The sequence below is a fragment of the Homo sapiens genome, chromosome 7 (assembly GCF_000001405.40).
Source record: "Homo sapiens chromosome 7, GRCh38.p14 Primary Assembly".
In the NCBI taxonomy this organism is placed as follows: Eukaryota; Metazoa; Chordata; class Mammalia; order Primates; family Hominidae; genus Homo; species Homo sapiens.
This window is the reverse complement of record NC_000007.14, coordinates 37,247,546-37,259,548: the sequence shown is the minus strand read 5'-3', so window position 1 is coordinate 37,259,548 and position 12,003 is coordinate 37,247,546. Positions and strand designations below refer to the sequence as shown.

The 12,003-nt window shown below is 42.2% G+C and overlaps 1 protein-coding gene across 14 annotated transcripts in view, besides 2 other annotated features; it reads left to right on the top strand.

Moving 5' to 3' along the window:
* The window catches only part of ELMO1 (engulfment and cell motility 1), a 596,421-nt gene that overhangs the window by 189,778 nt on the left and 394,640 nt on the right, over positions 1-12,003 (top strand). For all 14 annotated transcript variants that reach the window (NM_001206480.2, XM_011515654.3, NM_014800.11 and 11 more), the window contains one exon: positions 199-368. In NM_001206480.2, coding sequence (NP_001193409.1) covers positions 199-368 — 170 coding nt within the window. The remainder of the gene's footprint in view (positions 1-198; positions 369-12,003) is intronic.
* Positions 10,162-10,781: an enhancer, noted in NCBI's record as "OCT4-NANOG-H3K27ac hESC enhancer chr7:37288373-37288992 (GRCh37/hg19 assembly coordinates)". NCBI's record gives its function as "activates a minimal SCP1, AML or CMV promoter by ChIP-STARR-seq in naive H9 embryonic stem cells {active_cell/tissue: H9 hESC(naive)}" and the evidence as "EXISTENCE:reporter gene assay evidence [ECO:0000049][PMID:30033119]".
* Positions 10,782-11,402: an enhancer, noted in NCBI's record as "OCT4-NANOG-H3K27ac hESC enhancer chr7:37287752-37288372 (GRCh37/hg19 assembly coordinates)". NCBI's record gives its function as "activates a minimal SCP1, AML or CMV promoter by ChIP-STARR-seq in primed H9 embryonic stem cells {active_cell/tissue: H9 hESC(primed)}" and the evidence as "EXISTENCE:reporter gene assay evidence [ECO:0000049][PMID:30033119]".

The window sequence follows — 12,003 nt, the reverse complement described above, 5'->3', positions numbered from 1 at the left end:
ACATGAGCAGACCTCGCTCTGAAGGTGGAGTGTTTGGGTTGGAAGCCTTGAAGCCTGTCGTTGAGATGCCCACTCTGTAATATGCAGATAGTCTTGCGCTTTTGGCTTTTGTATCTCTGTTCCTCATTGAAACATAAATCTGTTTTGCTGTTGTGGTTTCGTTTGTCAACACTCTTCCCTTTGCTTTTGCCCCATAAGGCTCAGAACGCCCAGCAGCTCCATGAACGAATCCAGTCCTCGAGTATGGATGCCAAGCTGGAAGCCCTGAAGGACTTGGCCAGCCTCTCCCGGGATGTCACGTTTGCCCAGGAGTTTATAAACCTGGACGGTATCTCTCTCCTCACGCAGATGGTGGAGAGCGGCACTGAGTAAGCGTCTTTTTTCCTAACTTCCACAGCTGTCCTGCGTGTCTCCGCGTTTTGAATATTGTTACATGCCTTACACTTGCAAACTCTGTTTTAAAGACCAGAGCCTTGGTTAGACTCAGGAAAAAAATAGTTTTTAAGATAGTGGCGAGGCAGTGGGTTTGTAATTTCAAGAGTTCTCCATCCTTTGCCCACCACCATCTAGTATCTGAGACAAAATAGAAATCCATCAAGTGCTAGAAATTTCAGGTTTATGTGGGAAAATATCATGCCATTATCTCAGAGGGCCTTGGCAACAATGAAAGTATAACTCGACAAAACAATAGTCCCTCATATTCGTTGCCTATCCCTAAGAAAAATTTTCCCTCCCTTAATCCATTAAAAAATTAGATTACCTAATTATGTTTCTTTTTTCATTGACAGCTCAAGCTAGTTCAAGTTATGTTTCAAAGTATAAAACCAGGTCAAGATATAATCCCTGAAGTAATTTTAAAACTTAACACTTGAATGATTAAATACTTGTCATTAATTACTTGAAATTAAATGCAGTCAACATGTATTAACTACCTACTCAGTGCATGCAAAAGAGTTGAACAAAGGAAAATTTTTTCTTACGAGCTTGCCTTCCAGAAATTGATGGAGACTATCATATGGGCAGAATTCTATTGCGTGTAATTCCTCCTGAGAGCCAGGAATCTAGAGGGCGGACCCATTATCTCTCTCTCTCTCTCTTATTTTTTTTTATTTGAGATGGAGTCTTTGTTGCTTAGGCTGGAGTGCAGTGGTGCAATCGCTGTTCACTGCAACCTCCACCTCCTGGGTTCAAGTGATCCTCCCACCTCAGCCTCCTGAGTAGCTGGGATTTCAGGCATGTGCCACCACACCCAGCTAGTTTTTTTTTTGTTTTTTGTTTTTGGTAGATGGAGTCTCACTCTGTCGCCAGGCTGGAGTGTAGTGGGACGATCTCGGTTCACTGCAAGCTCTGCCTCCTGGGTTCAAGCAATTCTCCTTCCTCAGGCTCCCGAGTAGCTAGGACTACAAGCGTATGCCACCACACCTAGCTAATTTTTGTATTTTTAGTAGAGATGGGGTTTCACCATGTCAGCCAGGATGGTCTCGATCTCTTGACCTCGTGATCTGCCTGCCTTGGCCTCCCAAGGTGTTGGGATTACAGGCGTGAGTCACCACGCCCGGCCTAATTTTTGTATTTTTAGTAGAGATGGGGTTTTACCACGTTGGCCAGGCTGGTCTCGAACTCCTAACCTCAAATGATCTGCCTGCCTCTGCCTCCCAAAGTGCTGGGACTACAGGCGTGTGACACCACATGCAGCTAATTTTTGTGTTTTTAGTAGAGACAGGGTTTCACCATGTCAGCCAGATGGTCTCGATCTCTTGACCTCGTGATCCGCCCACCTCGGTCTCCCAAGATATTGGGATTACAGGTGTGAGCCACCGTGTCCAGCCTGATTTTTGTATTTTTAGTAGAGATGGGGTTTCACCACGTTGGCCAGGCTGGTCTTGAACTCCTGACCTGAAGTGGTCCACCTGCCTCTGCCTCCCAGAAGTGCTGGGACTTGGGACTACAGGCGTGTGACACCACACCCAGCTAATTTTTGTATTTTTAGTAGAGACAGGGTTTCACCATGTCAGCCAGGATGGTCTCGATCTCTTGACCTCGTGATCTGCCCATTTCGGCTTCCCAAAGTGTTGGGATTACAGGCGTGAGCCACCGTGCCTGGCCTAATTTTTGTATTTTTAGTAGAGACGGGGTTTCACCACGTTGGCCAGGCCAGTCTCAAACTCCTGACCTCAAGTGATCCACCTGCCTCTGCCTCCCAAAGTGCTGGGATTACAGGCATGAGCCACCATGCCTGGCTGGAACCCATTAAATCTCAGCCTCACAGAGGAGATGAGTGTGAACTGTCCTTGAGGGAGTTGGAGTTCCATCATGAGGGAGGAAGGAATGTCCCTTCCTGCCGGGGAGCTTGCTCTCTGGTGTGACTGTGGAGCGTCAGGAGCCAGGCGGGGCCAGCTCTTATGTTGGTGGAGAGACAACTCCTTTAACCACTGAATGCTGAATGCCTGCTAGGATGAGCAGGAGGCTGCCCCTGCCATGTGGTCAGGTGCTATTGGCAGAGACTAGTAGAGCATACAATTTAAAGCATGTGAAATTGCTGAATCAATTAATTGCATATGAATATGCTAAGCTAATAAAGTACAGTGTCAGGATAGGCATTTATTATGAAAGAGTAAGTATCATTGAGAATGGAGGTTTAAAACTGGGTTGTTTAAAGGGTACCTAGTAATACAAAGAATGAATTGATAACTCTGCAAGTTAGAGATCTTTCTGGGCCCCTCCCCTTCTGTCCCCTTCCTCTCCTTTCCCTCCCTCCCTTCTCCCTTCCCTTCCTCCTCCCTTCTCCCTTCCCTTCCCTTCCCTTCCCTTCCCTTCCCTTCCCCCTGCCCCTCTCCCTTTCTTCCTTCCTTTCTTCCTTCCCTCCTTCTCCCTTCTCTCCCTCCCTTCCCTTTGTCCTCCTCTCCCCTCCCCTCCCTTCCCCTCTGCCCTCCCCTCCCCTTTTCCCTCCCCTTTTCCCTCCCTCCCTCCTTTCCTTCCTTCCTTCCTTCCTTCCTTTCTTCCTTCTTTCCTTCCTTCCTTCCTTCCTCCTTCTCCTCCCTCCATCCTCCCTCCCTCCTACACTTGGCATCATCTGGCCTCTGCAGTTGGTACTAGTGAAAACATTTTTTTTCTCATTCAAAGACAAGATATTCTTTAGAGTTTGGAGTTGGGGATCTTAACTCGCAGTCAAGTAGAGAAAATCCCTAGAACTGAATGTGAAGAACATCATGTCAGAGAAGACCGACAAACAGGCCTGGGTGATCGGGAAAGGGTCAACTGTAGACAGGTATCATTTATTTTTTTCAAGGATGACGAAACCTCTGCTTATGAAAGTTTGGGCATACCTCAACGTGGAGTGGTACAGGGAAATGTAAACCCTGGATGTTGTCAGAATCCAGTGTGGTTACTGTAAGCTGGAGCTGGAGCTTGAATCAGCGAGAGGGAAGTTGAAAAAGTTTAGGGATCCAAGGAGCTTGACAAAGGAATGGATACAGAGGGTCCTGTCTGTGAGGGGAGCTCCAGGCTGGAAGCTGGTCTGGAATGTGTCAGGATCCTATTGCCTGTTTCTGGGGAGCAGAGGAGGAGGACGAGTTGTTATAAACACCTTCACTCATCACTGGATTACTTCATGTACCTGCCAGACATGGTAGCCTATACTACATACCCCCCACGGCTTCTGGTGAGAGAGTGGGGCCTGGGGGAGGCTGCCTCGGCAACACTAACATGTTAAATAAAAATGTAAAAATGTTTACCCCTGTTTATTGATTAAGCTAAGTCAAGGACAATGCATCAGAGCCAGTTGTAATGTCACCTGCTGATATGAGTTGGTTCTGCCACAAGTACCTAGGTATCCAGGGCTTGAGCTCTGGCACATTCAGAATGATATTTGCAAATACTTCTGAAATTATTAGAATTGCAATTGTAATTACGGTTACTTTACCGTGGTAAAGACAGCAAAGCAGGGGCGCATGTGATCTGCATTCTGAACAGGGGCCTGTGGTGGAGCCCCTCACCTCCAGAGGCCGGCAGTTACAGACTTCGACAATGAAACTGCCTGCTAGGAGCTTTTGTTTTCAGTTTCTCATTGCTTTACTTTGCTAGGGCTGCCATAACAAAATACCACAGACTGAGTGGCATAAACAACAGAAACTTTATTTTTCCTCAGAGTTCTGGAAGCTGCAAGTCCATGATCAAGGTGTTGGCAGGGTTGGTTTCTGCTGAGGTTGCTCTGGATAGTGGATGGCTGCCTTCTCTCTCTGTCCTCATGTGCACATCCCTGTTTTTTCTTTTTGTCTTCAAATCTCCTTTTCTTATAAGGACAAGAGTCAGATTGGATTAGGGACACCTAATGGCTTCATTTTAAATTAATCATCTCTTGAGAGGGCTTATCTCCAAATACTGTCCCATTCTGAGGTACTGGGGTTTAGGGCTTAAACATGTGAATTATGAGGGGCCACACTTCAGTCCGTAATGCTTATAAAAGGGACACAATCATTTTTGCTTTAAAAGAAAAAGAGTAAGAACTGATGCTATGTATGTGCCTTGTCAACATTCTTACTTTTTCTCAGTGCTGTGGCCTTACTTTATGACACATCTCCACCTGCAGAACAGTCCAAAAGATTCACTATTCCTCAGACCCAGGATGGGGGACAGCAGGTCTGAATTCTGTCTCCATGTTGCACACGTATTATACAATGTGAGAGAATGTCAATATTGAATGTACTTTATGTGAGCTAAAGCAACTGAATGCCTTTCTTAAAAAAAGGAGTATCACACTCATTAATATCTTAACTACAGTCACGCACTGCATAAGAACATTTCGATCAGTGATGGACCACAAATATAATGGTGGTCTCATGAGATTATGATGGAGCTGCCCTATACAGTTGTGCCATTTTTTATATTTTATACCATGGTTTTACTATACCTCTTCTCTGTTTAGATACACAAATATTTGCTATTGTGTTACCATTGCGTACACTACTCAGCCTAGTAACATGCTGTACAGGTTTGTAGCCTAGAAGCAATAAGCTGTGCCACATAGCCTAGGTGTGTTGTAGGCTATACCATGTATGTTTGTGTAAGTACACTCTACGATGTTCACACAACAGAATCACCTAATGATGCATTTCTTAGCATGTATCGCATTGTTAAGCAACACATGACTGTATTTATAATAATCAGTAAGCCGTCCCAGTTTGATACATACAGCCAGGTTTCAGACAGATAAACAGAGCTTAAGGCCAGGTGTTGGGTGAATTCTCTTTTGCATTTGTCTCTTATACTTTCCCATCACACTATGTTCGTGGGAAGGAATGATGTCTCTCAGGGTCATCTTTGGTGTCCCCCTTCCTGTTTTATGTAAATTCAAAGTTACGCTATTTTCGGGGATGGAGGAAGGAGGGACTGGAGTTGCAAGGCCTCCTGCCTTCCTTCTGCTGGTCCTGCATCTCATGCTCAGAGGTGGCTTATTTAATAAACAGCAAATTTTTCAGATCTTTCGCTAAGATTAAAAAGGAAAGAGAAAGCCATTTTTCTATAAGAAATCCTGGCTTCTCTGTTAAACTTAGAGCAAGACTTCAATTAATTAACAGGAAACCTTTGGGATAGAAACCACATAAATTAAATAGATCCTGTAATTTGGAAGGCATTTAGTCATGACTCCTGGGCAATGTTCCAGCTGGAGAAGGTGGTCGTTTCCTAAGCAGGACCTGTGGAAATTTTCGTAAACATTGAAGAAATGTTGCTGGAATTTTTCTCCTTACTTTTAGGAATAATGAGATTCAGAGATGACTTGCCCGCCCCTCATTACCCAAGGCTGGGCTTTTTGTTTTTTTTTTTTTTTTACTTTAAGTTCTTGGATACATGTGCAGAACGTGCAGGTTTGCTACATAGGTATACACATGCCATGGTGGTTTGCTGAACCCAAAACCCGTCATCTGCATTAGGTATTTCTCCTAATGTTATCCCTACCCTAGCCTCTCACCCTCTGACAGGCCCTGGTGTGTGATGTTCCCCGCCCTGTGTCTATGTGTTCTCATTGTTCAACTCCCGCTTACAAGTGAGAACATGCGGTGTTTGGTTTTCCGCTCTTGTGTTAGTTTGCTGAGAATGATGGTTTCCAGCTTCATCCATGTCCCTGCAAAGGACATGAACTCATCCTTTTTTATGGCTGCATAGTATTCCATGGTGTATATGTGCCACATTTTCTTTATCCAGTCTATCATTGATGGACATTTGGGTTGGTTGCAAGTCTTTGCTATTGTGCACAGTGCTGCAATAAACATACGTGTGCATGTGTCTTTACAGTAGAATGACTTATAATCCTTTGTGTATATACCCAGTAATGGGATTGCTGGGTCAAATGTTATTTCTGATTCTAGATCCTTGAGGAATCACCAGACTGTCTTCCACAATGGTTGAATTAATTTACACTCTCACCAACAGTGTAAAAGCGTTCCCATTTCTCCACATCCTCTTCAGCATCTGTTGTTTCTTGACTTTTTAATGATCACCATTCTAACTGGCATGAGATGGTATCTCATTGTGGTTTTGATTTGCATTTCTCTAATGACCAGTGATGATGAGCTTTTTTTCATGTGTTTGTTGGCCGCATAAATGTCTTCTTTTGAGAAGTGTCTGTTCATATGCTTCACCCACTTTTTGGTAGGGTTGTTTTTTTCTTGTAAATTTGTTTAAGTTCCTTGTAGATTTTGGATATTAACCCTTTGTCAGATGGCTATATTGCAAAATTTTTCTCCCATTCTGTAGGTTGCCTGTTCACTCTGATGATAGTTTCCTTTGCTGTGCAGAAGCTCTTTAGTTTAATTAGACCCCATTTGTCTATTTTGGCTTTTGTTGCAGTTGCTTTTGGGGTTTTAGTCATGAAGCCTTTGCCCACACCTGCGTCCTGAATGGTATTCCTAGGTATTCTTCTAGGGTTTTTATGGTTTTAGGTCTTACGTTTAAGTCTTTAATCCATCTTGAGTTAATTTGTGTATAAGGTGTAAGGAAGTGGCACAGTTTTAGTTTTCTGCATATGGCTAGCCAGTTTTCCCAGCACCATTTATTAAATAGGGAATCCTTTCCCCATTGCTTGTTTTTATCAGGTTTGTCAAAGATCAGATGGTTGTAGATGTGTGGCATTATTTCTGAGGTCTTGTTCTGTTCCATTGGTCTATATATCTGTTTTGGTACCAGTACTATGGTGTTCTGGTTACTGTAGCCTTGTAGTATAGTTTGAAGTCAGGTAGCGTGATGCCTCCAGCTTTGTTCTTTTTGCTTAGGAATGTCTAGATTATATGGGCTCTTTTTTAGTTCCATATGAAATTCGAAGTAGTTTTTTCTAATTCTGTGAAGAAAGTCAATGGTAGCTTGATGGGGATAGAATAGAATCTATAAATTACTTTGGGCAGTATGGCCATTTTCATGATATTGATTCTTTCTATCCATGAGCATGGAATGTTTTTTCATTTGTTTGTGTCCTCTCTTATTTCCTTGAGCAGTAGTTTGTAGTTCTCCTTGAAGAGGTCCTTCACATCCCTTTTAAGTTCTATTCCTAGGTATTATATTCTCTTTGTAGCAATTGTGAATAGGAGTTCACTTATGATTTGGCTCTCTGTTTGCCTATTATTGGTGTATAGGAATGCCTGTGATTTTTGCACATTGATTTTGTATCCTGAGACTTTGCTGAAGTTGCTTATCAGCTTAGGGAGATTTTGGGCTGAGATGATGGGGTTTTCTAATTATACAATCATGTCATCTGCAAACAGAGACAATTTGACTTACTGTCTTCCTATTTGAATACCCTTTATTTCTTTTTCTTGCCTGATTGCCCTGGCCTGAACTTCCAATACTATGTTGAATAGGAGTGCTGAGAGAGGGCATCCTTGTCTTGTGCCCGTTTTCAAAGGGAATGCTTCCAGCTTTTGCTCATTCAGTATGATATTGGCTGTGGGTTTGTCATAAATAGCTCTTATTATTTTGAGATCTTCATAAGTGAAGGAGAAATAAAATCCTTTGCAGGCAAGCAAATGGTGAGAGATTTTGTCACAACAAGGCTGGGCTTTTAAAAGGTCTCTCTCCAGCTGGTACTGGGTGGGGCCATGGAGCAAAGTCAGTAACAGAGGAACAGTGAGGAAGTGTCATCTTGACAGAGCATGAGCACAGTGTTTAAAACCTGAGTTTAATTGTTCTATCCTTAATGGAGTTTTGAAATTTCATTCCTAATTTCTGCTTGAAACATAGGAGTGAAAGCAAATACAGCTGTGGGGAAACATGTTGCCCCAGCCTGAGCAACAAAAGGAATATTGAGGAATGGACAGTGTTTCCAGAAACAAATATCAAAAAGATGGATATCAAAACATTTCTCAGAAATGATATATTTTATTTTATTTGAAAGAAGGAAAATTGTGTCCACAACTCTTAAGTCCAATGTCATAAAAAATACTGCTCTTCTTTGGGTTTTAATAAAACACCACAGTCTTTGTCCATGCCTCTAAGCACACAGACAATGAGAAAGCCTACTTCTGTGTCCTTCCACTGTTAGTCAGTCATCACTAGGGGCAGAAAAACAGGGGAAACATTTCCAAGAATGAAAGGGCAGGGTACTTATAGTTTCCTTCCCGCTTGGCAATGTGATGGGAAAATTACGCTGCTGGAATATGAGTAAGCTGTAACACCACCCTGGGCAGGAAAGTCAACTGCGAACAAAAGTTAAATTCATGTATTTATGATGAACTTGGAAAGTTTCTGGTTTTTTTTTTTTTTTTTTTTGAGACGGAGTCTTGCTTTGTCACCCAGGCTGGAGTGCAATGGCGCAATCTTGGCTCATTGCAAGCTCCGCCTCCCCGGTTCATGCCATTCTCCTGCCTCAGCCTCCAGAGTAGCTGGGACTACAGGCACCTGCCACCACACCCGGCTAATTTTTTGTGTTTTTAGTAGAGACAGGGTTTCACCATGTTAGCCAGGATGGTCTTGATCTCCTGACCTCGTGATCCACCCGCCTCGGCCTCCCAAAGTGCTTGGATGGAAAGTTTTTTTAAATTAACTTTCTTTTCTTATGAAAAATTATCTGTCGTTTGAAAAGTATATAAAAAAGCAGAAGGAAAAAATAAGAATAATTTGTAGTGTGCCTTTCCACAGACGACTATTTTTAATATCTTGATGAATATCGTTTTTTATATATTCTTTTAGATACACACATATGCACAGGCTTTATAAAAGTAGAATTATAATACTCATGTTTTTATAACCTGCTTTTTGTACCTAACAATATTTCCATGTGATTAAATATTATTCTCCCCTGTCATTTTTGTTGCATGCGTACTGTTTCATTTTTGCAGCTTTATAGCTTATTATGTACAATTAATATACAATAATTTGAAGAATGTGCATAGTACAGTGAACTATTTCCCTATTGTAGGACATTTATATTGTTTTTAGGGTTTTTCTCTGAACTTTTATTTTATTTTATCTTACTTTTTTTTGAGTCAGAGTCTTGCTCTGTTGCCTAGGCTGGAGTGCAGTGGCACAATCATAGCTCACTGCAGCCTTGACCTCCAGGGCTTAAGCAGTCCTCCTGCCTCAGCCTCCTGAGTAGGTAGGGACTACAGGTGCCACCACACCTGGCTAATTTTTAAATATTTTTTATAGAGACGAAGGTCTCTCTGTGTTTCCCAGGCTGGTGTTGAACTCCTGGTCTCAAGTAATCCTCCTGCCTTGGCCTCCCAAAGTGCTGGGATTATAGGTGTGAGCTACCGGGCCTGGCTTTCTGAATATTTTTAAATCAGCTTTTCTTTTAGCAAAATTTTTGTGGATATTTAATTTATTTTGTTGGAATAAAATTCCTGACTCAGAGTATGTATACATTTTAAAGCTGTTTTAAAATAAGAATAGCCCAATAGCTTGCAGAAATGTTCTAATTTATACTTTACCATTCTTGTAGGAGTATGTCTATTTCCAATACCTTGGTCAATACTCGGCTGGTTTTCTGGTTTTCCTCAGAAAGATAGCAGTGGTATTTGTGGAGTTCTCACTAATCTGGGGAATTTATAAGTGCTGTTTTATTTGTTTCATTGAGGTCATTTCTCCAAAATCTGGCTGTATTAGGAACATTGGAAGGAGTCCCATAGTTATTTTAGTGATATGTAAAGTTCTTAGGTAATTGTCTTAAAAAGAAACATTAAGTGTATAAATTATTAGTTCCTCCCCACTCTGTCATACATATGACACAGATGGAAAAGTCTAGTGCTGTGTGTATGTATATTACATGTATATAAAAATTGTCATCATTTTTGCATTAATACAAGAACAGTCTTGAAACAGGTTCCCTCCATCTCATATTAACCTTTCGTTATTCAAATTCTTTTCATCTTGCCTGAACCAGAGGTGTTTTCATTTTCTGAATGTTGTGAAAACTGAGGTATAGCTTGAATTATACACTTTGTTTTGATGTTCCCTAGCACCCACACTTGAGATGGATTTGTATGTTTTATTGATTCAGCGAAATGTACGTTACTGAGGGCTGAACCATACTCCTCACACTGGGTTAGGCATGTGAGACGTAAGAGGAGGTGCATGGAGGATAACACAAAGATGTATATGACAGTTTTCCATTATGTGTGACCTTTTCCGGAATTTTGCCTTCACACAAAAGATGAATTTCTGTTTTGAAACTTTGTTAACCTCCAAGGACACAGATGATCAGCTCTAACTTATGCTATTGCCTCTGAGAACTTGGTGTCTCTTAGAAGTCTTGGCTGTTCTGGGAGGTCCAGTGCAGGCCAAAGCGATTCATCTACTTGCTGCCTTGCAGCCAAGGCCAGCTGACACCATGCACGTTTTGCACTTTACCTCCTCAGAGGCCACAGACCCAGACAGAAAGAAGCTGCTCCTGTGGTCTCTGCAGTCAACCCCAGCTGTGATGGCTGCCACATCTTCCCAAGGCTTTCTGCTGTTTTCTTGGAGCCTGCAGTGCACTCTGCATTGCTCAGGGAGCTCCAGCTGGAACAGCTCTTGAGGGCTCTCCCAGAAATTTGCATCACAAAGGCCAAAGAGGCCAACCTTCTTGGGCTTTGTCAGAGATTGTGTGGCAGAAAATTCCCTAAACAGGATCTGCCCCCTCCTCACTCCTTTTGCTTTCTCTGTGCGTCTTTGTCCTTCACTCTGGTAATGGAAATGAGAAAGGGTCACACAGCCCATTTGAAGAAGAGATTATCTTCTGTTGGCGAAAAAAAAAATGCCGTTCCTTGGGCTGAGGTGAGAGGTTTCTGGCCACTGTGAAACATCAACCTTTCCAGAGTAATTTCTCTTCTAGTCACGTTTCTCTAAAAAAATAGGTATATTGAGACACACACACACACACACACACATATAAAATCCCACTTAGGGCAATAGACAGATGTTGCAACAAAAATTTCTCTTCTCCTTATGCATAATCTGAAGCCAAAGTGAGGATGCAAATTTGAGGAGTAAGAAGCACTGTGACTCAGCACTGAGTTATGTCTGTGCTCTGGTCAGGGAGAGCTCTCCAAGGTCAGGGATGCTGGAGGAGGCGGAACTCATATAAAAACCATAAGCATGCTCAGGCCCCAGGCCAGAAAGTTATTTTAAAAGTTTACAGCAACTACTTTATGTATTACACACACACACACACACACACACACACACATTTTATTTCAAAACCATTTTAAACTTAAAACTTGCAAGAACAGAGCAGAAAATCCCCTCTTGCTCTTTTCCCAGAGACCCCATTTAAGTTTCACCTGTTGTCCCAGCTCTGTCCTTTAATGGAAAGAATCTAGCTCCAGGTGGCACCTTGCACCCAGGTGGCCCGTCTCCTCCTAGTCCCCTCTGATCTGGAATTGTTCTTCACTCGCTCCTTTTCTTTCATGACTTTGGTGTTTTTAAATTATAGGTCAGCCATTTTATAGAATACCCTGTAATTTGGGTTTGTTAAAGGGTAATTTGTTAAAGGTAATTTTCATGGAAAAGTAAAATCATAACTCTCATACAGATGTG